The 21,114-nt window shown below is 47.4% G+C and overlaps 3 annotated features.

Moving 5' to 3' along the window:
* Positions 11,751-11,800: an enhancer, noted in NCBI's record as "active region_12714". NCBI's record gives its function as "activates an Ori minimal core promoter by ATAC-STARR-seq in GM12878 lymphoblastoid cells {active_cell/tissue: GM12878}" and the evidence as "EXISTENCE:reporter gene assay evidence [ECO:0000049][PMID:35858748]".
* Positions 14,526-15,026: an enhancer, noted in NCBI's record as "H3K27ac hESC enhancer chr17:72628323-72628823 (GRCh37/hg19 assembly coordinates)". NCBI's record gives its function as "activates a minimal SCP1, AML or CMV promoter by ChIP-STARR-seq in primed H9 embryonic stem cells {active_cell/tissue: H9 hESC(primed)}" and the evidence as "EXISTENCE:reporter gene assay evidence [ECO:0000049][PMID:30033119]".
* Positions 15,027-15,527: an enhancer, noted in NCBI's record as "H3K27ac hESC enhancer chr17:72627822-72628322 (GRCh37/hg19 assembly coordinates)". NCBI's record gives its function as "activates a minimal SCP1, AML or CMV promoter by ChIP-STARR-seq in primed H9 embryonic stem cells {active_cell/tissue: H9 hESC(primed)}" and the evidence as "EXISTENCE:reporter gene assay evidence [ECO:0000049][PMID:30033119]".

Raw genomic sequence — 21,114 nt, 5'->3', positions numbered from 1 at the left:
GGATTTAAGCAAAGTAATAACAGAAAGCATCTAAAGTGGTCTCTGAAACAAAGTAAACTCAGTAATTCTTAGCAATTATTATGTCTCTGGCCATGGCTGGCAGACCCTGGACCTGAACCTGGGTAGCAAATGTCACACTGCCCTGCTCTTGTTCTTTTTCTTTTTCTTTTGTGACAGAGTCTCTCTCTGTTGCTCAGGCTGGAGTGCAGTGGTGTGATCTTGGCTCACTGCAACTGCCACCTCACAGGTTCACGCGATTCTCCTGCCTCAGTCTCCTGAGTAGCTGGGACTACAGGTGCCTGCCACCATGCCCAGCTAATTTTTGTATTTTTAGTAGAGACAGGGTTTCACATATTGGCCAGGCTGGTCTCAAACTCCCGACCTTGTGATCCACCCACCTCGGCCTCCCAAAGTGCTGGGATTACAGGGGTGAGCCACTGCACCTGGCCCCTGCACTTCTTTAATATTGTGCCTGGAAGGTGCTGGGCATGGAGTGGATGTTGCATGACTGCTTCTTGCAGAGCCTCAAGAGAGCAGGGAAGGCTGGGCTTCCCAAGTAGACTTAAAGGATTGTGTGTTTGTGCTTTTGTTTTTGGGGTATTTGTTCATTCATTCATTCATTCATTCAAGAAAACTATATAGAGCATATATTGTGGGCACTGGATGTTGGAAATGCAATGGTGAGCAAAGAAGACCCATTTCTTGCCTTCTTGAGGCTTATAGCCCAGTAGGGGGAGACAGACATTAATCAAATGTGCACCAATAAATGTCCCATTACAACCACCATAGAAGAAGGAGGTGCTCTGGGAACTTCCATTAGGGGCATTGATTCAACTGGGCTCCAGCGATGTCTCACCCCATCCACTTCCCCCACATGGCCTAGCCCACCGTTGTCTCACACCTGGAAGGCTACAATTGCTTATTCATGTCTCCCAGTTTCCTGCCTTACCTCTGTCAATTGTTTTTTCCTCGCAGCAGCCCGTGTGATCCTTTTAAAGTAAGCCAGGTCACGTAATTCTCCAATGGCTCCCTGCATCATTCAGAGTCAAATCCAACTCCCTATTAAGGCCTATGGGCCCTTAAATGATGACTCTGTTTCCTTTCTGATCTCGTCTCATTCCACTCTTGCCCTCATTCCCTCTTCCTGAGCCATGGTGGCCTCTGCTCCCACCCCAGGACTTTTGCACAGCAGCCCCCTCTACCTTGCACTCTTTTTTTTTTTTGAGATGGTGTCTCCTGTCACCCAGGCTGGAGTGCAGTGGCGCGATCTCGGCTCACTGCAGGCTCCGCCCCCTGGGGTTCACACCATTCTCTTGCCTCAGCCTCCCGAGTAGGTGGGACTACAGACGCCTGCCACCTTGCCCAGCTAATTTTTTGTATTTTTAGTAGAGACGGGGTTTCACCGTGTTAGCCAGGATGGTCTCGATCTCCTGACCTCGTGATCCGCCCACCTTGGCCTCCCAAAATGCTGGGATTACAGGCGTGAGCCACCGCACCCGGCCTACCTTGCACTCTTCACCTGCAGCTGTCAGTGTGGCTCCCACCCTTCTTTCAGGTCTCTGTTAAAATAAGATAACACTTTATCATAGATACCTTCTCTATAGATATTAATACAATAGCATTTGCCTCCCCTCACTCCCTCTACCCTTTTTGTCTTCGGGGCACTTATGACCACCTGGTACATTTTATATGTGTTTATTTTCTCCTCTCCCCCTCCCCCTAGGAGAATGTAAGCTTCCTGAGGACAGAAGCTTGATTTGTTTGTTGCTGCATTCCAGCACCTAGCACGGTATTTGGCATGTAGTAGGTGTCCAGTAAATATTTGTTGAGTTGAATGAATGATAATTTATTTGAGATTTGGAGGAAGAGTATGAGTTAACCAAGCAAAGAGAGGAAAGGAGCATTTTAGGCCCAGGAAACAGTGTGTGAACAGTCACTGTAATCAAGGGAATGTGTTCTGTCTGAGGAACCAAAATCTTTGTGGTTGCCCCTTGGGGATTAAGTGGGAGGTTATTATGGCTTGAGGCTTGGGAGGTCAGCAGGGGCCAAACTGAGGTCCAGTAGAGGAGTTGTAAGAGCCCTGGGAGGCTGTTAATGTTTCTTACAGGGGGAGTGGCAAGATCAGATTTGTTTGCAAAAATACCATTCTGGCTGCACAGTGGCGAAAAACTAAGAGTGAACGTGGGCAGACCACCTGGGAGGCTATTGACAGACGATGGTAGCTTGGGCTAGGTTGGCAGAGAAGGAGATAGAGAGATGGACAAATCTGAGAGCTTTAACAGGAGGCAACATTGAATGGGCTCCAGGCAGGACAGAGTGTGGGGATGAAGACACAGAGGGGTCAGGGATGAAAACTAGGAAACAGTGTAAGGTGATGGGACTCCTTTCTGGAGGGCATAATTGTGAGTTTACTTTGGACTTGTTGAGTTGGATGCATCTTTGAGACGGCTCAAGTGCAGATATCAAGGAGAGGGATGGCAAGGAGGTCTGAGGTTAGAAGAATGTTTGGACTGGAGATTGAGTTTTCCAGGAATCTGCTCAAAATGGTTTTTAGACCCAGGCTCTGACTGACTTTGAGGATAGTTATCTTGGGATCTGTAGCTTTATGTCTTGCTGAAACTGGGAAAATTTTAGCCGTTATGTTTTCAAATACCTTTTTGCAACTCTGCTTTCTTTCTTTTCTTCTTCTGGAACTTCAATGACATGAATGTTTGCTCTTTTATTACAGTCCCACAGCTACCTAAGGCTCTGTTCATCTTTTAAAGTCTATTTTCTCTCTTTTGCTCAGATCAGACAATTTCTATTGTTCTGTGTTCAAGTTCACCGATTCTTTCCTCTGTCCTCTCCCTCCTGATGTTGAGCCCATTAGCTGAATTTAAAAAATTTAGTTATCATATTTTTCATTTGTAAAATGTCCACTTGCTACTTCTTTGTGTCTATTTCCTTGCTGAGATTTTCTATCTTTTCATATATTTCAAGCATGTTGAGGAGATTGCCATAGCATTGTGTTTGAACACTTGCTTGTCAAGTAGTTGCTGCTTATCATCTCAGTTTCTTTCTTAAAAGAAAAAAAAAAGCAGTAGAATAAACAATGATTGCAGGTGTGAATGGAGACCACCATAAGAAGAGATAGGGAGGCACCAAAGCAGAAGGCAGAGCATGCAGCACTTGCTCTCTGTAGCATGGTCAGCCCAGAGTCTAGGAGGACTGGGCTGTATAGAGGGGAGAGCAGAGCTCAGTAGGCAGAACCATGAAGCTGCTTTTCACCACCTTCCTTCTCTCTCTTCTAGTTGCCTGGGGCAGAAGTGTTGATGGAGAAGTGGGTTAACATAGTAAGTATGTGGGGGACAGTTGAAATGGCAAAGACTTTCTGCTTATTTCTGGAGCCATGCATATGTGCTTAGTACAGGAATTGAGAAAATCATGTGTGTTATTCCAGAGATTAATTCCAACCTTTCTTACCTGCATATAGCATCAAAACCTCCTTCTTTATTTTGAAATAATTTTAGATAATTTAGTATCTTATAGTTTGTAAGAATCTTTCTTTCTTTCTTTCTTCTTTCTTTCTTTCTTTCTTCTTTCTTTCTTTCTTTCTTTCTTTCTTTCTTTCTTTCTTTCTTTCTTCTTTCTTTTTCTTTTTTTTTGGAGACAGAGTCTTGCTCTGTCACCCAGGTTGGAGTAGAGTGGCGCAATCTTGGCTCACTGCAACCTCCATCTCCTGGGTTCAAGCCTCCTGAGTAGCTGGGATTACAGGCACGCACCACCACACCTGGCTAATTTTTGGGTTTTTAGTAGAGACAGGGTTTCACCATATTGGCCAGGTTGGTCTCAAACTCCTGGTCTCAAGTGATCCACTCGCCTTGGCCTCCCAAAATGTTAGGATTACAGACATGAGCAACCACACCTGGCTGCAAGGTTGCTGAGTGGACGGACATTCACTCATTCATCTCTTCACACAGCATGCATTTACTGAGCACCCGCGGTGAGCTGGTCACTGTACTTACTGCTGGGATATGAAGATGAGTCAGACACCGCACCTGCTCTGGAGTGGGGGTTTCTATTCTTATTGGAGAGGGGAACATAGATAACCTCACTCTGGCTTCTGGTTGGGCTCAGGTTGTCAATGGAGGAAAATGACTGAGGCAAGTCTCAATCATTTTAGGAAGTTTATTTGCCAAAGTTAAGGAAACGCGCCTGGGAGACAGGTCTATACCTTTCTCTGAAGATGATTTTGGGGGCTTCAATATTTAAAAGGGAAAGGGTGGGATATTGAGAAATACACAATTTTCTTGTGAGAGGGGAGGTGGGGAAAATAGCCATTCAGGCCTTTGTCTGGCTCAGTGAATCTGCATTTTTACCTAAGATAACGTAAACAACAGGGCAGAGGAAACAGTCAGATATGCGTTTGTCTCAGGTGGGCAGAGGAATGACTTTGAGTTCTGTCCTGTGTCTCGCACCTGTGAAGATAAGCTATCAGTTTACATTGGCATGGGGAAATTTAACAGAAACGCTTTAAAGACCACAATGTGAGGGAGGTTGGTAGCCTGTCATCCTTGTCACCATCTCATTTAGGAACCAACATGGGAGGTAGGTTTGCATGACCCAGTTCCCTGCTTGACTTTTTCCTTTGGCTTAGTGAGTTTGGGGTCCCAAGATTTATTTTCTTTCCAAGGAATGGCAATGGGTGGTGCCAGCAGGAGAAAGGAAGGTGAGAGTTTCTCCTGCCCAGGTGCCACCCTGCTGGGCTGGAGTGTCCGTTTTCCTACTTTGAGGTCACAGCCCCTGTGGCATGGTCCTGTCCTACAGTTCCTGTGGGTTCTGGTTATTTCTGACACCTCTCCCTGTGTTAGAGGTGTCGTGGCCCTACTGCTGTTGCTAGTCCTGTTTTTTCTCCATCTCTTGTTGATTTCACTTAACTCTTTCCTTCTCTTTGTAAATTTCCCCTGCATTAGATTATTCTGTTATACCAACTGAGCCTGCCATTGGCCCACTCCCAGGATCCTGACAGAATCATGATCTCTCCTTCTTCTTTGTATACACAGCGCCTTTACTTAGTAGACGCTCATTAAGTGACTGTCCAATTAATAATAATGTAACATGTTAGGGGCTGTGTCAGCAATTTTTGGGTAAGATTTGCCCTCTGAACATCCAACTCCCTGTTTTGATGTCAGATAAATCTGCTGGATTAGTATATTTGAAGACACAATGATACATAAAAATGTGACTTAACTTGTCTGTTTTTGGAAGTTGTAGGCTCTTGAGAAACTGGGTGGGTGCCCTGTGATGCTAATTATTATGAGAATTAAAGCCACAAAGTTTCTGTTGTGATTAGTAGTTTTCCTGTCTCCAGCTTCTGCTTTTTCTGAACAGCTCTACGTATAAACATTGATGCAATGGGAAAACAACAAAACTGAGGTGTAGAAAAGAGAGACGCAAGGGAGTAGTAAGAAACATGAAAGCCAGTTTCAGTCCAGCTGACAGAAGCTCCCCAAATGTTGGCAGATGAGGCAGAGAGAGCAAAGAGACACAGTGACACATCTGCCCCTCCTGGACATCCTGGGTCCGGGGAGTGGGGTGGGGGAGGCTGGTGGGAGCATGAGGAACAGCAGGCCTAGTGGCTGGGGAAGGGGAGGTGGGTGGGGCTGGGGTGCACTGGGGAGAGGATGAGGGAATCAGAGGGATGACTAGAGTTTCAGGCTCCAGCCTCAGATGGGTGGGCTCTGCTGATAACAAACAGAGGCCCAAGGAAAGCGACTAAGCCAGGCCTGGTAGTCCAGAGGGCACAGAGGCAACCCAGGGTGTAGTGGGGAGCCCCTCCAGGGCCAGGCGAAGTCTTGCTCAGCATGAGGTCTGCAGCTGCAAACACAAAGTAGGACTCACACTTAGCAGGGCCTCCATATGCGGCAGCAGAATGCACAAATGGATTTGAGTTGTTCTGAACATTAGAGAAGCCCAGTGGGGAAAGGAATGCAGGGTCTGGGTCAGGTGCGGTGGCTCACGCCTGTAATCCCAGAGCTTTGGGAGGCTGAGGTGGGTGGACCACCTGAGGTCAGGAGAGGAGCGCCGTGTACCATCAAGACAGCCCTGGCAAATGCTTTTTCACAGTGGTCACAAAGAACCCCAGCAAGGAAGATGTGGCTGTGTGCTGGTGTGCAAAGAGAGATGTTTTTATGCACCCAGGGGACATGGGATGATTGCTGTTTTGTCACATGGGAGTGTCCTGTAACCCCCACCCTCCTTCCCAAAGAGCACAGACTGTGTCTGACAGCTGGTATGTGTGTGCACGTGCGCACATGTGTGCTTGCACACCTTCTGCAGGCTCCTCCTCTGTTCTAGCATCAGAGTCATATCTCTCTCATCTGTTTCTTTTTTCTTTTTCTTTTTTTTGAGTTGGAGTTTTGCTCTTGTCACCCAGGCTGGAGTGCAATGGCACGATCTTGGCTCACTGCAACTTCCTCCTCTCGGGTTCAAGGGATTCTCCTGCCTCAGCCTCCCAAGTAGCTGGGATTACAGGTACCCACCACCAATGCCCAGCTAACTTTTGTATTTTTAGTAGAGACAGGGTTTCACCATGTTGACCAGGCTGGTCTCCAACTCTTGGCCTCATGTGATCCACCCGCCTTGGCCTCCCAAAGTGCTGGGATTACAGGTGTGAGCCACCGCGCCCTGCCAGGGTGGGGGGTCCTAGCTAGGAATACATAGAAAGACTCTGGAGATTCTTTTAATAGGATATGCGAAACTCAGTGTATGTGTGTGTTTTCCTAGGGCATGGGTGTATAGCTTTTGTTACAATCTCAAGTGTATCTGTGACCTCAGCTCCCCGAAGTTAAGAACACAGGGGACTCTCTCTCGCCTTGAATCCTCCAGAATTCGCTCACCAGCCCTGTCTGGTGTGGATATGAAGGTGAAGGAGAGGCCTCGGAGGCTTAGGGCGGGACCCATGGGCTCCTAACAGTGGCATTGCTCATCTCTAATGTTCCAGGTCTTTTCTGGAGAGCCCTCTCTCCTATTCTAGGCTCTGCTTAGCACCGTCAACGTTGCATCCCTTAGTAGCCTGAAATAAAGGGGAGAGAAGCAAATGAAAAAGGAGACCCATGGGGAAGTTATTTGCACAGACGAAGGCAAGTGAGTCAGCTGTGCAGGGTGGGTCTCGGAGGAAGATGCAGGAGTCATGGGCGTGGTGAGGTGGGGGGCACTGGGGCTCGAAGCCCAGCAGTCGCTCACTTTGGGGCTTTTGTCCCTCTGCATAGGTGCTTCTAACGCTGCCAGCTCCTGATGCCAGCACTCCTTTCTCAGCCTGCTCTCTGCTCAAATTGAGTATTAAAAAAAGAAATAAAAGCCACAAATGGGCTGATGTGAGCAGATGGTTTCGGTCATAACCACAAAAACCTTCTTGTTTCCCGTTCCTGATCGACACTGCTCTTGCATAACGCCAAGTCCATGACACTGATGAAGAAAATGCTGGCATTATCTGCCTGTTCCAGGGATGATGGACTGAAAGTTTGTGTCCCCCTTCTTCCCCCACCAAAGATTCATATGTTGAAATCCTGACCATGAAGCTGATGGTATTGGGGGTTTGGGAAGCGATTAGGTCTTGAAACTGGAGCCCTCATAAATGGGATGAGTGCCCTCATAAAAGAGACTCCAGAGAGCTTTGTAGACCTCCCTCTCTGCCATGTGAAGATGGAAAGAGAAGGCAGTCATCTGCAACCCAGAAGAGGCCTTCGCCAGAGCCTGACCAGGCTGACACCCTGATCTTGGATGTCCAGCATCTATAACTGTAAGAAATAAATGACTGCTTAAGCTGCCCACTTTGTAGTATTTCAGTTACAGCAGGCTGAATGGAGCAAGACATAGGGTTGGCCACTGCAGGGCCCCCTCTTTTTTTCTGGACCAGAACGTGCTCGATGGAGTTTCTGGGCACCAAGAGACAGAGGGTGGTGGGAGAGTTCCCTTGTTCTTTATTCTGGATTGAAGTAAAATGCTCACACATAATTGATGTCATGAATTTTTTTTTTAAGTCGGCGTCTCAGTCTGTCACCCAGACTGGAGTATGGTAGCGTGTTCTCGGCTCACTGCAACCTCCACCTCCCGGGTTTAAGGACTCTTATGCCTCAGCCTTCCGAGTAGCTGGGATTACAGGCACGTGCTACCACGCCCTACTAATTTTGTATTTTTAGTAGAGATGGGGTTTCACCATGTTGGCCAGGCTGGTCTCAAACTCCTGACTTCAGGTGATCCAACTGCCTTGGCCTCCCAAAGTGCTGGGATTACAGGCGTGAGCCACCTCACTCGGCCCATGTCGTGACTTTTAGTATTTTTTGACCATGACTCACAGTGAGAAAGTTAGTTACTTGGCAATACTTGTATACGCATACAGAAAAAAAAAATAAAATCTCAGTGTTTATCATTATAACCTGAGATGTGCTCTGATTGATCCTGACATACCCTGTTACAGACCAAAACATGACTGAGGCAGGTCTCAGTGCATTAGAGGTTTGTTTAGCCAAGGTTGTCCAGGAAAAAAAAAACAAAACAAAACAGATCACAGATGCATTTTCCAAAGGAGGTTTTAGGAACTTTTTTTTTGTTTTTTGAGACGGAGTCCTGCTCTGTCACCCAGGCTGGAATGCAATGGCATGATCTCGGCTCACTGCAACCTCCGCCTCCCGGGTTCAAGCCATTCTCTTGCCTCAGTTTCCCGAGTAGCTGGGATTACAGGCACATACCACCATGCCCGGCTAATGTTTTTGTATTTTCAGTTGAGATGGGGTTTCACCATGTTGGCCAGGCTGGTCTGAAACTCCTGACCTCAGGTGATCTGCCCGCCTCAGCCTCCCAAGGTGCTGGGATTACAAGTGTGAGCCACTGTGCCCGACCGGGAACTTCAGTCTTTGAAGGAGGAAGAGAAAGCAGGAGGGAAAAAAGGGAGGGAGGGGAGGCAGGGAAGCAAATGGTTACATTCCCGTGAGGCTCTGATTAGCTTTGGTAAAACTACATTTTACACCTGGAAAGAGGAAGTGGAGGGAAAAGTCAATGATGTCTTGTGTGCAGCTCAGTTAATCTGCATTTGACTTAAGATAAAGTAAACATGTGAAGAGCGGGAGTACAGGGTTGTGCCATTGCAGCCATCTGTTTGGGAACAAGAGGAAGACAGCATTGGTGACCCAGTTCCTAAGCTTCTCTTCCCCTTTGGCATAGTGAGTTTGGGAATCTGAGATTCCATTGGTCTCTCACACTACTTGTAAGAAAAAAATCTGCTTAAGACCCACAACCAGGTTGCAACCCTCAGTTTGGACAACACTAGTCTCATCGTTTTTGCTTCCTGCCAGAAAGAGCAAATCTTCTGTGATAACAGTGTCTGGAGCCCCAGAACGGGTCACGCTCCCCTGGTAGCTGAGAAGGGGACAGGAATGACAGAGGATTTCTGCCTTCAGCCTGTCTCAGAGCCTTGATCCAGCAGGGGAAAGGAGCATTCTGACCTTTCTCCTTTTTTTTATATTAATCATTTTTTTTTCTGGTGTAGGGAATCATAGGACTCAAATGCAACTTCCACCCATGGGGAGGTCTAATGATAACGTTGGTCTCATCTCACAAGGAGGCAAGTTTCTCTCATCTAATTGTGGAGGAAGGGCTGTCCAACAAAAGCAAGTCAGAAGGAATTCCTAATCGAGGGACGTTATGCTGGGGCCTGTACGGGTACTTCCTCTCTCTCGGCACAGACTGTGGTCTCTCACAGGACACTTGAGGTGACCTAGTTCTTCCCTGCTTCAGACCAGTGGCTGCCAGTTTGAGCGCGGTGGCTCAGGCCTATAATCTCAGCACTTTGGGAGGCCGAGGCAGGCGGATCACCTGAGGTCGGGAGTTCAAGACCAGCCTGGCCAATATGGTAAAACCCCGACTCTACTAAAAATCCAAAAAAAAAAAAAAAAACTAGCTGGGCATGGTGGTGGGTGCCTGTAATCCCAGCTACTCGGGAGGCTGAGGCAGGATAATCGCTTGAACCTGGGAGGCTGAGGTTGCGGTGAGCAGAGATTGCACCACTGCACTTCAGCCTGGGTGACAGAGCGAGACCCCATCTAAAAAAAATCCAACAACAACAACAAAAAAGACCAGTGGCTGCCACCCAAGTCCTGTCTGTGTTTGGAGAAGGTATTACTCCATTTGGCTGTAGTTGGCAGGTCAGGCCTTGCTTGGGATTTTCCAATCGTCCCTATCCCTTGGCCTCATTGGAAGCACCACATCTGCTGTCACTTACACACTCCCCCATTGATGGCATGCAGTGATTTAGTTTTCCTGTGCTTATTTCCTGAGAGCGAGGCAGCGGGGGTGAGGGTGGGTGTCTCAGATTTCTTTGAATAATGTGAGGTGTTGTGTAAGAAACGCAGCCACATATACACGGATTTTATTTTATTTTCTTTTAGACAAAGTCTCACTCTGTCGACCAGGCTGGAGTGCAGTGGCGGGATCTCACCTCACTGCAACCTCTGCCTCAGCCTCGTGAGTAGCTGGGATTACAGGCGCATACCACCACACCTGGCTAATTTTTGTATTTTTTTTTTTTTTTTTAGTACAGACGGGGTTTTGCCATGTTGGCCAGGCTGGTCTCAAATTCCTGACCTCAAGTGATCTGCCTGCCTTGGCCTCCCAAAGTGCTGGGATTACAGGAGTAAGCCACTGCACCCAGCCACCAATATCCAGACAAGGATATTGGTGAGTACAATAACCTGGTTTCCTGGTGGAAATGTAGAGGGGACCATGGGAATATACAGAAGGGTGGCGTAGCCCAGCGTTGAGACGGGCTTGCAAGTGGGGCTTCATGGACCCCAGTGGGTGAGGATGTGAATTCCGGCTTCTACTGGGCCTCCATTGATGTGCCCCTGGCCAAGAGGGGTCAAAAGACCTACAGGAAGAAGCTGAGGCACAAAATACAATTTTAAAGAGTTAATTTCAGTTGAAGTGAGGACAGCTGTCGGAGACGCACTTCCAAGTTGCCTTTGGGAGTGGTCTGCTTGGCTTTTGTTACAAGCAGGTTTTTTTTTTTTTTTTGGAGACAGAATCTTGCTCTATCGCCCAGGCTGGAGTACAGTGGTGTGGACTCGGCTCACCGCAACCTCTGCCTCCCAGATTCAAGTGATTCTCCTGCTTCAGTCTCCTGAGTAGCTGGGATTACAGGTGTGCACCACCACGCCCAGCTAATTATTGTATTTTTGGTAGAGACAGGGTTTCACCATGATGGGCAGGCTGGTATTGAATTCCTGCCCTCAAATTATTACCCACCTCAGCCTCCCAAAGTGCTGGGATTCCAGGCGTAAGCCACCGCTCCTGGCCTACAAGCAAGTTTTGAAAGGCAAAAGGAAGCAAGGAGGGGGCTGACAGTCTGGAGTTGTCTGATGTGAATTCTTACTAGTTCACAGAAATCACATCGGTCGGTGACTGGCAGTGCATTGTTGAGCTCAGGTGTGAGTTATGGCGTCCAGTGCGTGGTGTTTACGGTGTTCATGGCTATGTGGTGTCCGTTCGTCTAGGGCCTGCATCGCAGGTGGCTTCCAGAGACAATTATTTCGCTCAAGTGGGGAGTGAGACGTGACTGCTGTCACATCTGAATGCCTCTCTGAGTCTGCCCATTTAAAAGGGCTCGCATTCCTCAGATAAAAAGTCCCTTTTCTTTCTCACTACTCCCCATGTGGCCTGGTTGAGGCCACCCCCGCGGGAGGGAGTTGGGCTTCTCACTGCTGAGTGGGGGTGGAAGTCCAGGTTCCCTACCCAGCCTTCCCTGACAGCACCTGGCAGGGGGATTGGGTGCCTGGTTACAGCTGGGTGGAGGTGGATGTCTAAGCTCCCACTCTGCCTTTGCTGGCCTGGGCGGTGGGGCCATCATTTTTTCTGGGGTGTTCTGTAGGGTAGAGGAGTCATTGTCTAAGTTCTTCTCTATTGCTGGGTTGCTCGTTCCCTGTTTTTTTTTTTTTTTTCTAGAGAGAGAGGGACAGCTTTTGTTGTTGTTTTTCTGTGCCTGTTATTGTTTCTGCATTGGTGGCCTCTCCATCAGGGCTGTCTCCAAGTCTGGGATACATAAAGGAAAGAGAAAACCCAGATAACTCATTGCTACATTGTTCCGTGGACCCTACTGTCTGTCCACCTTTCAGTCCCTTCTCATGCTTGTTTTATTTTTATTTTTTATTTTTCGAGATGGAGTCTTGCTCCATCACCCAGGCTGGAATGCAATGGTGAGATCTTGGCTCACTGCAACCTCCACCTCCCAGGTTCAAGCAATTCTCCTGCCTCAGCCTCCCAAATAGCTGGGATTACAGGTGCCCGCCACTATGCATACCCAGCTAATTTTTTGTATTTTTAGTAGAGACAGGGTTTTGCCATGTTGACCAGGCTGGTCTCGAACTCCTGACCTCAGGTGATCCACCCGCCTCGGCCTCCCAAAGTGCTGGGATTACAGGTGTGAGCTACCATGCCTGGCCCTCATGCTTGTTTTATACCCAAGATCAGGGCTTAGTTCTACTTGGTGGGAGGGATAGGGAAAAGTCTGTCTACTTCATCTTCGTGGAAACGTTAAGTGCATGGGATGGTTTTAAGGGCCAGGCATACAAGGGCTCACATTGTTTCTGTGACGTCCCACCAGACAGCCTCAGTGTCTGGTTCCCCTGGATGTGGTGGAAGTCTGGTACCCAACTCTGGGCCTGGCCTTAGATACCTGTGCAATTTCTTACATGCTCCATGGTGACCATAGAAACCAGCATGAAGGTGATGACGCTGATGGAAGGGCCCAGGTCCTCCAGTTGCCACCTAGAGATCTGCCTGACTTTCCTTTGTCTATGATCTGACTGAGAAATACACCTTTATTGTGTTAAGCTACTGAGATGTTAGGGTTGCTTGTCACAGCACTATCTATCCAGACCCTATATTGTTTAAGATCTCTTCTTTTTTTTTTTTTTTTTCTTAGACACAGTCTCACTCTGGGCCCAGGCTGGAGTGCAGTGGCATGATCTTGACTCACTGCAACCTCTGCCTCCTGAGTTCAAGCAATTCTCACACCTCAGTCTCCTGAGTAGCTGGGACTACAGGCCTCTGCCATCACGCCCAGCTAATTTTTTGTATTTTTGGTAGAGATGGGGTTTCATCATGTTGGCTGGGGTGATCTCGAACTCCTGACCTCAGGTGATCCACCCTCCTCGGCCTCCCAAAGTGCTGGGATTACAGGCATGAGCCACCGCGTCCGGCCGCAAAATACTTTAAGTGAAGAGCGCAGCTGGTCCTCAAAAGGAGCTATTGCAGGAAGAAGCCTGGAGTCTGAATTGGGGGTGGCTGGGAGTCCTCAGGGCCCCTTCTCCCCCACAACCGTCAGTGTTGTGTTGACAGCAAGAAGTCATTGCTGGCCACGCAGTGGAATGTGGGGAAGATGGCTCCAGCTCTTGCTGTTGAGTCAAACCGAGGATCCTGGCTTGGCCTTAATCTGGACTCAAGGGTTTAGACTGGGGACTCTCAGGAAGGCCCGAGGACTTACTGCATTTTCACCTGACCCAACACACTCATGCCAGGATCAAAGGGAGACTGCACTTCGGGAGCAGTTTGCGAAAAGCCTGCTCTGCTTCATGAAACAGGTTGTGATTGTAGGCTCTGGTCACGAAAGAACGCTCACAAGCCAAGCGTGGCCTTTTTGGAGAGAAATCTGTCAGGCTAAGTGTGTGTTTACCTTGGGACTCAGCAATCCTGCTGAGGCAGGCAGAGCCCAGAAAAACTCTCATGCAGGCCCTCAGAGGCCAGGCTAGAGCATGCTCAGTGCTGTGCTGTCTGGGGAGCAGGGAGCTGGGGGCAGCCCAGGTGTGCAACATGGGGGAGGGGCCGACAAGTAAACCCGGCACCTCCTGTAGTATACAAGCTCCAGTTCTAGTCAACAAACTCTACGGCCCCATGGTAACGTGGATGGGGCTTAAAAACCCAGTGCTGAGGCCTGGCATAATGGCTTACACCTGTAATCCCAGCACTTTGGGAAGCTGAGGCGGATGGATCACCTGAGGTCAGAAGTTTGAGACCAGCCTGACTAATATGGTGAAACCTAGTCTCTACTAAAAATACAAAAATTGACTGGGCATGGTGGTGTGCACCTGTAGTCCCAGCTACTTGGGAGGCTGAGACAGCAGAATTGCTTGAATCTGGGAGGCAGAGGCTGCAGTGAGCTGAGATCGCACCATTTCACTCCAGCCTGGGCCACAGGACGAGATAACGTCAAAAAAAAAAAAAAAAAAAAAAAAATCCAGTGCTGAGTGAAAAAGCTAAAACCAGAATGAGATCGATGGCATAAAGCTGGTTACATAAATTCTTTTTGCCCAGGCTGAAACGCAGTGGTGCAATCATGGCTCACTCCATCCTCAAACTCCTGGGCCTGAGCAATCCTTCTGCCTCAGCCTCCTGAGTAGCTGGGAACATGGGCGTGTGCCACTATGCGTGGCTAATTTTTAAATTTTTTTTGTAGAGATCGGGTCTCACTATGTTGCCCAGGCTGGTCTTGAACTCCTGGAATCAAGGGATCCTCCCTCCTCAGCCTCTGTGAGCCACTGCGCCCAGCCAGTTATGTAAACTTAAACACACTCCTACGAAGCCAGCATGTATACCTGACAATCACACAAGTGTACGGATGCCGGGGATTGGAAATGGGAAATGAGATAGAAAGGACTAAACAGAGAAATGATATGAGACAGGACTTTGCTTGGGCACATTAACTCAACCCACCGCACCTGTGGTGCCCTACACAAAGCAACAGTGAAGGCAGATTCACCCGGAAAAGAATGCTGGGAGAGGGGCGTAAGACAGAATGATGCAACCCAGGTACTGTGCCGCACAGAGGCAGCAGCTCGACTCTGCCAGAGCTGGCTTTGCAGGGAAGCTTTATCGGCATTTTGAAGGATGTGTAGGGGCTCCAGGTATCAAGGAAGGCAGGTGGGAGGCTGGAAGGGCTTTGACAAACACCATATATGCAGGCGTGCTGGCTCGAGGGAGCAGCTGCTATTTGGGAAATTAGAAATACTGTGCTTTGGAATGGCTGGAGCAAAAGTGTGAGCCGGGAGGATGGAAGGAGGCTGGGTCCTGCAGGGCTGTGTGAATCATGCTGGGGTCTGGATTTGATCACAGCTAAGAGGAGACAGTGAAGATTTTACAGCAGGAAGCCACTGAATCACATTTCAAAGCTTCCTCATTTTCTTTCAGCCATACCACCAACTTCTGCAATCTCCCCACACGAGTGCCTGGATTTCAGAATCTCTCTCAGTTTCTGTTTTTCTGGCAGTTGCTTCTTAAAGCTTGCTTGTGTTTTTTCAAGCGCTACGCTGGACCTGGGAAAATTCTCTCCTTGGTCATCGCATTCTCAAAGATTTCACTCACATTATTCTTCATCTCTAATGTTTTAGTCAAATCCCACCTATTTCTCTCATTTTTCAAAATGCAACTTTTCATCTGGTAATTTCAGTTTGTAGAACTTTATCTTGATTGTCTCTCAAGAGGGTTTTTTATTTTTATTTTATTTTATTTTATTTTATTTTATTTTATTTTATTTTATTTTATTTTATTTTATTTTTTGGCAGAGTCTCGCTGTGTCTTCCAGGCTGGAGTGCAGTGGCACGATCTCAGCTCACTAAAACCTCCATTTCCTGGATTCCAGTGATTCTCCTGCCTCAGCCTCCCAAGTAGCTGGGATGACAGGTGTGTGCCACCACACCAGGCTGATATTTTTAGTAGAGATAGGGTTTTGCCATGTTGGCCAGGCTGGTCTCGAACTCCTGGTCCCAAGCAGTCCACCCACTTTGGCCTCCCAAAGTGCTGGGATTATAGGTTTGAGCCACTGCGCCCGGCCCAATAGTTAGATAGTTTCTTTTTGTTGGATAATTACGGTCTCTTAAATTTTTTACTACTATGTGTTCACATTTTCATTTTTTTTTTCTTAGAATAGAATATGAAAAGTGGAATTACTGGGCGAAGAGAAAGCCCATTTTTAGAGTTCTTGTCACTTACTGCTAAATTGCTTTGCAGAATTAGAGCACTACATCACCTATAGACAGCATACGGATTCCACCACTCTGTTGCCTGCCTTTACTGAGCATTACCTTAGAAAACCTCTTGGCTAATCTGGAAAAATTTATAATTTTGTTGTTTTAGTATATCCATGTGGTTGATTTTCAGTGAGATTAAGTGCTTTTTCTTCTGAATGTCAGCCATCTGTATTTCTTCTTTTGAGAATTGTAGGTTGATGGTGTTTGCCAATTTTTCTTTTAGTTTGAATATTTTTCATTTTGATCTGTGTAAGCTCTTGATGTTTTTGGTAATTTTGTTTCAGTTTTTTCAGTGTTGTTGTCTTTTTTTTCCACACCCGAGTAATTTTAGTTTGTTGTAATTAACTCCATCTTTGTGCTTGGATTTCAAGTTCTGTGAGCACACAATGATGTCCTGGAGATATCTGCCCATCAACCAGGACAGGTTTTCCAGAAGATCTGCCTACTCACCTCTCAGCATACTGGAGGACTTTGATTAAACAAACGCTCCCCTTTGTCCCCAGCCCTCTCCAGCTGTTGTTTCCTCTCTCTCCACTTTCCTTCTCAGAGCCTCTTATAAAACAGTGTCTGTACTTTCTTTTTTCTTCTTTTCTTTTTTCTTTCTTTCTTTCTTTTTTTTTTTCTAATACACGGTTTCGCTCTCTAACCTGGACTGGAGTAAAGTGGCGTGATCTTGGCTCACTGCAAACCTCCACCTCCCAGGCTCGCGTGATTCTCCTCCTCAGTCTCCTGAGTAGTTGAGATTACAGGCACACGCCACTACCGCCCAGGGAATTTTTGTATTTTTAGTAGAGACGGGGTTTCGCCATGTTGGCCAGGTTGGTCTCGAACTCCTGACCTCAAGTGATCCACCCGACTTGGCCTCCCAAAGTGCTGGGATTCCAGGCATGAGCCACCGCGCCCGGCCACCATCTGCATTTTCTGACTCTGTTTCCTCATCTGTCATTTACTCTGTAGTCAAGCCCACCTGTCTTCTCTGCTCACCACTCTACAGACATGCCCTTGACGAGGGAACCAACAACCTTACTGTCAGTCAAATCCAAATGCATCTTCTCTTTCTGCATCTTACTTGACCTCAGCAGCCCTTGACTCGGCTGAGCACTTCTTCCTCCCTTCTTTCTCCTTTCTTTGCTTTCAGACTATCTCAGTCAGCTCAGGCTGCTATAACAAAGATACCACAGATTGGGTGGCTCACACAAAAGAAATTCATTTCTCCCAGTTCTGGTGGCTGGAAGTTCAAGATCAAGATGCTGGCTGAATCAGTTCCTGGTAAGGGCTGTCTTCCTGGCTTATAGATGGCTGCCTTCTTTCTTTATCTACACATGGCAGAGAAAGGGAGAGAGAAAGCAAGCTCTCCTGTATCTCTTCTATGATTCTATGATTTTTTTTAATTAAAAAAAAATTTAAGAGACAGGCTTCACTATGCTGCCTAGGCTGAAGTGTGGTGATTATTAACAGGCACTATCATAGCACACTGCAGCCTCAAACGCCTGGCCTCTAGTGATCCTCCCCGCTCAGTCTCCTGAGTAGCTGAGACTACAGGCTTGCACCACTGCACCTGGCTTGTGTCTCTTCTTATAAGGGCACTAATTTTATTCATGCGAGCCCCACCCTTATGGCCTAATCATATCCCAAAGGCCCCAACTCCAAATACCGCCACCTTGGGGATTAGGGTTTCAATGTATGAAACTGGGGGGACATAAGCATTCAGTCTACAGCCCAGACTCTCCTGGTTTTCCTCCTGCATCACTAGGTGCTCCTGATTTCACTCTCCTGACTACTACTACCTTCCTTCTTCCCCTCCCCTCCCCCTCCCCTCCCCCCTCCCCCTCCCCACCACTTCTTCTTCTCCTCGTCCTTCTTCTTCCTCCTCTTCTTCTTCTTCTTCTTCTTCTTCTTCTTCTTCTTCTTCTTCTTCCTCTTCCTCTTCCTCTCCTTCTCCTTCTTCTTCAACAGAGTCTCACTCTGTCGCTCATGCTGGAGTACAGTGGTGTGATCTTGGCTCACTGCAACCTTGGCCTCCCAGGTTCAAGCAATTCTCCTGCTTCAGCCTCCCTAGTAGCTGGGATTACAGGCGTGTGCTACCACCAGGCTAAATTTTGTATTTTTAGTAGAGATGGGGTTTCACCATGTTGGCCAGGCTGGTCTCAAACCCCTAACCTCAGGTGATCTGCCTGCCTCAGCCTCCCAAAGTGCTGGGATTATAGGTGGGAGCCACCATGCCCGGCCTTGCCTCCTCTTCTTTTGCATCTGGTGCACTCTTCTGAATGCCAGCACAGTCTCATTCTGAACGTCACCTTCTCAGAGGCTTCTCAGACCGTCCTGGGTGGTTCTTGGCCATATCACTCTGTTTAATTCTCTCAGAGCAACCATCATGACCTCTTGTGCCTTGTTTCTGCATTAATTTACTACAAGCAGCTGGGTAGTGGGAGATAAGGACACAGATCCTGGAGCCAGGCAACCTGGGCCCTCCAATCCTAGCTTCATATGAACGCCATCATAGAGTGGCTCACCACTAATGGGTCATAAGGCCTTCAGCAGGTTGATTGGCCCCTCTGTGCCTCAGTTTCCTCCTCTGAAACATGGGGATAATAGAAGTTCTACCTCACAGGGTTGTTTAAAGGATTAGAATTGCATGAGTATGTGTTTAATAATTAAGACAGTGCTAAGAAGGTTCCTGAAGGGTGCAGCCTCCTCCAGCTTATGTCCTTGAGAAACAGAAGACTTTTCCCATTCTTGGCAGAAATATACTCTGTCTTTATAAATTGATTAATTTAGGAGCATCTTTTCTATATACATTAATATAGCACATCGCTGCCCTCTTTCTTTATGAACTTCTCCCTTTTATAATCCTCTACTATTCTAATCATATCAGAAGTAACCTTAAAGCTAGTAAGAATCATCTTTTAATTTGCTCACTTCTCTTATCTATGGAGGAGGAAATTTCCTGAGCTCTGTGCAGTTCCACGGGCAGCAGCTTTAGTGACAGCCTGAAGAGCAGGAGGTGAATGTTCTGGGCTGGGGCAGTCCGGGGAGTCAAGGAAGAGAAGCACGTTGCTGTTGTTCTAGTAGTTGTTGGGGAGGTCAGCGAGAGAGAAGGGTTAGATGTTCATCAGGCTGAGTTTGAGGTGTCGGTGGAGTCAGGGTGGAGGTGTTTTGAGGGGATGGGGCACAGCAGGATTAAAGCAGGGGCAGGGAATGGAGTTGTCTTGTAGGAAATCCCATGTGTGGCTGGAGGAGCAGGTAGGAACTGCTGCTTAGAGGGCCAGGGGAAGTCCTCAGGTGAAAGCTACCTGCTTCTTCTGGGGTCCTATGGGGCTGCACTAAGTGGAAAGCAGAAGAGTGCCAACTTGTGGGGCTGCCAAATGAGGCAGATGGGGCCAGGCGGGAGCATCTGTATCTTCACCAGGGCTGAGCTAGACTCTACCTGGACCCTCCATCTGGCCTAAGATCACTCTCTAGGTTGTCTCTGCCCTGGTAAATCCTCACACCACCTAAAGTAGCTTCTGTTACCCTCAAGAAGACTAGCCCAAGAGTGCTCTGCTTTCAGGATTCTGCTTCCAATTGCCAGTGGGAACGATTGCTGGTTGCAAGTGGGGAGGGGTCCATCGTCAACGCCAGAGAATGGCAAACTCCTTTTGCCAGGGCCAGCCAGTACAGATTTTAGGTTTTTTGGGCTCTGCGGTCTCTGTCACAACTACTCAACTTGGAATTGTTCCTATAAATTTTATAAAATTAATCAGGGAAGAAGGGAAGGGGAGAAATGAAAATAAACCAAGCTTGCAGCACATTTGGCATTAATCATGAGGTCAGCCTGCTCTCTGTCCTGCTTCTTCATATTTGCTGCCTATTCCCCCAGAATCACACAGACCCGGTTGTAAGACTATAGTCCCCCTTAATTGTACCATAGGTAACATCTTAAGCATTGTGAGACATTAAGTTTTCCATTTGAGATATTTTTACCAGGTCTTGTATACCAGTGAAACTACTGATGCCAGCTGGTCTAGAGGAATCCAAGAGAAGCTGATTCACCAAAGAAGGCTGTTTCCAGATCATGATGATTTCATCCATCCTACCTTGACCAATCAATGATCCCAATTTTCCAGTTACTTGCCCTCTACAATCCCCTTAAAAGTCCCAGCCCAGAACTTCTCAGGGAGATGGATTTGAGGGTCCCTCCCAACTCCTTGCTTGGTTACCCTGTGATCATTAAACTCTTTCTCTGCTGCAAACCCTGTTGTCTTGGTGTATTGGTTTGTTCCAGTGCAATGGGCATATGAACTCGTTGGTCCTGTAACAAACTCTGCTGTTGTAGCATGAAAGCTGCCATAGATAATACATAAATGAACATGTGTAGCTGTATTCCAGTAAAACTTATTTATGTACACTGAAATTTTAGTTTCAGACAATTTTCATGTGTCATGAATTAAAAAAAAAATTCCCACCATTAATAATGTGAAAATGATCATTAGCTCATGGGGTGTATAAAAACACAAGGTGAACTGGAGGTGTGGTTTTGGTGTGTGTTCATCTCTTCCATGGCCCTACAAGTCTCATCATTTGCCAACCTGTTTTATATTGACGTCCTTGTCCACACTCCCACACGATGGGAAGTTGTACTTTGGATCTCACACCCCTGTGTAGTGCAACTTAGGTGCTTGTTCTCATGGAAGGTAACTCCTTATAACTACAGGGAGTGGAGATGCCTTGATACTCCCATGAGCCCATCAATGGGGTCTCCCCTCATCCTGTTCCATGGGCGTAATGACCATTCATGGATCCTAGCTTTTGGCAGGGGGCTCTGCTCCCACTCCCTGTCTTGTGTAGACCTGAGACATTGTCTTCTGTCCCTGAGTGGCTATTTAAACAGCAGCCCCTCTCCTCCTAAGGCCCAAATTCATTTTGACTGGTCCCCATTAGCCTCTTGGTATCAGATCCTGCTCACAGACCTGGCTTTTAGTTCCCTTTACATTTCTAATACCTGGAATTTCCTTTTATTGGATTTGACTTCAGTTTGGAACCAGATGATAGCTTCTGTGTCAACTCGGTCTTACTAGGT

Source organism: Homo sapiens, chromosome 17 (assembly GCF_000001405.40).
Source record: "Homo sapiens chromosome 17, GRCh38.p14 Primary Assembly".
In the NCBI taxonomy this organism is placed as follows: Eukaryota; Metazoa; Chordata; class Mammalia; order Primates; family Hominidae; genus Homo; species Homo sapiens.
Note: the sequence above shows the minus strand (reverse complement) of the source record. Positions and strands in the feature narration are given on the sequence as shown.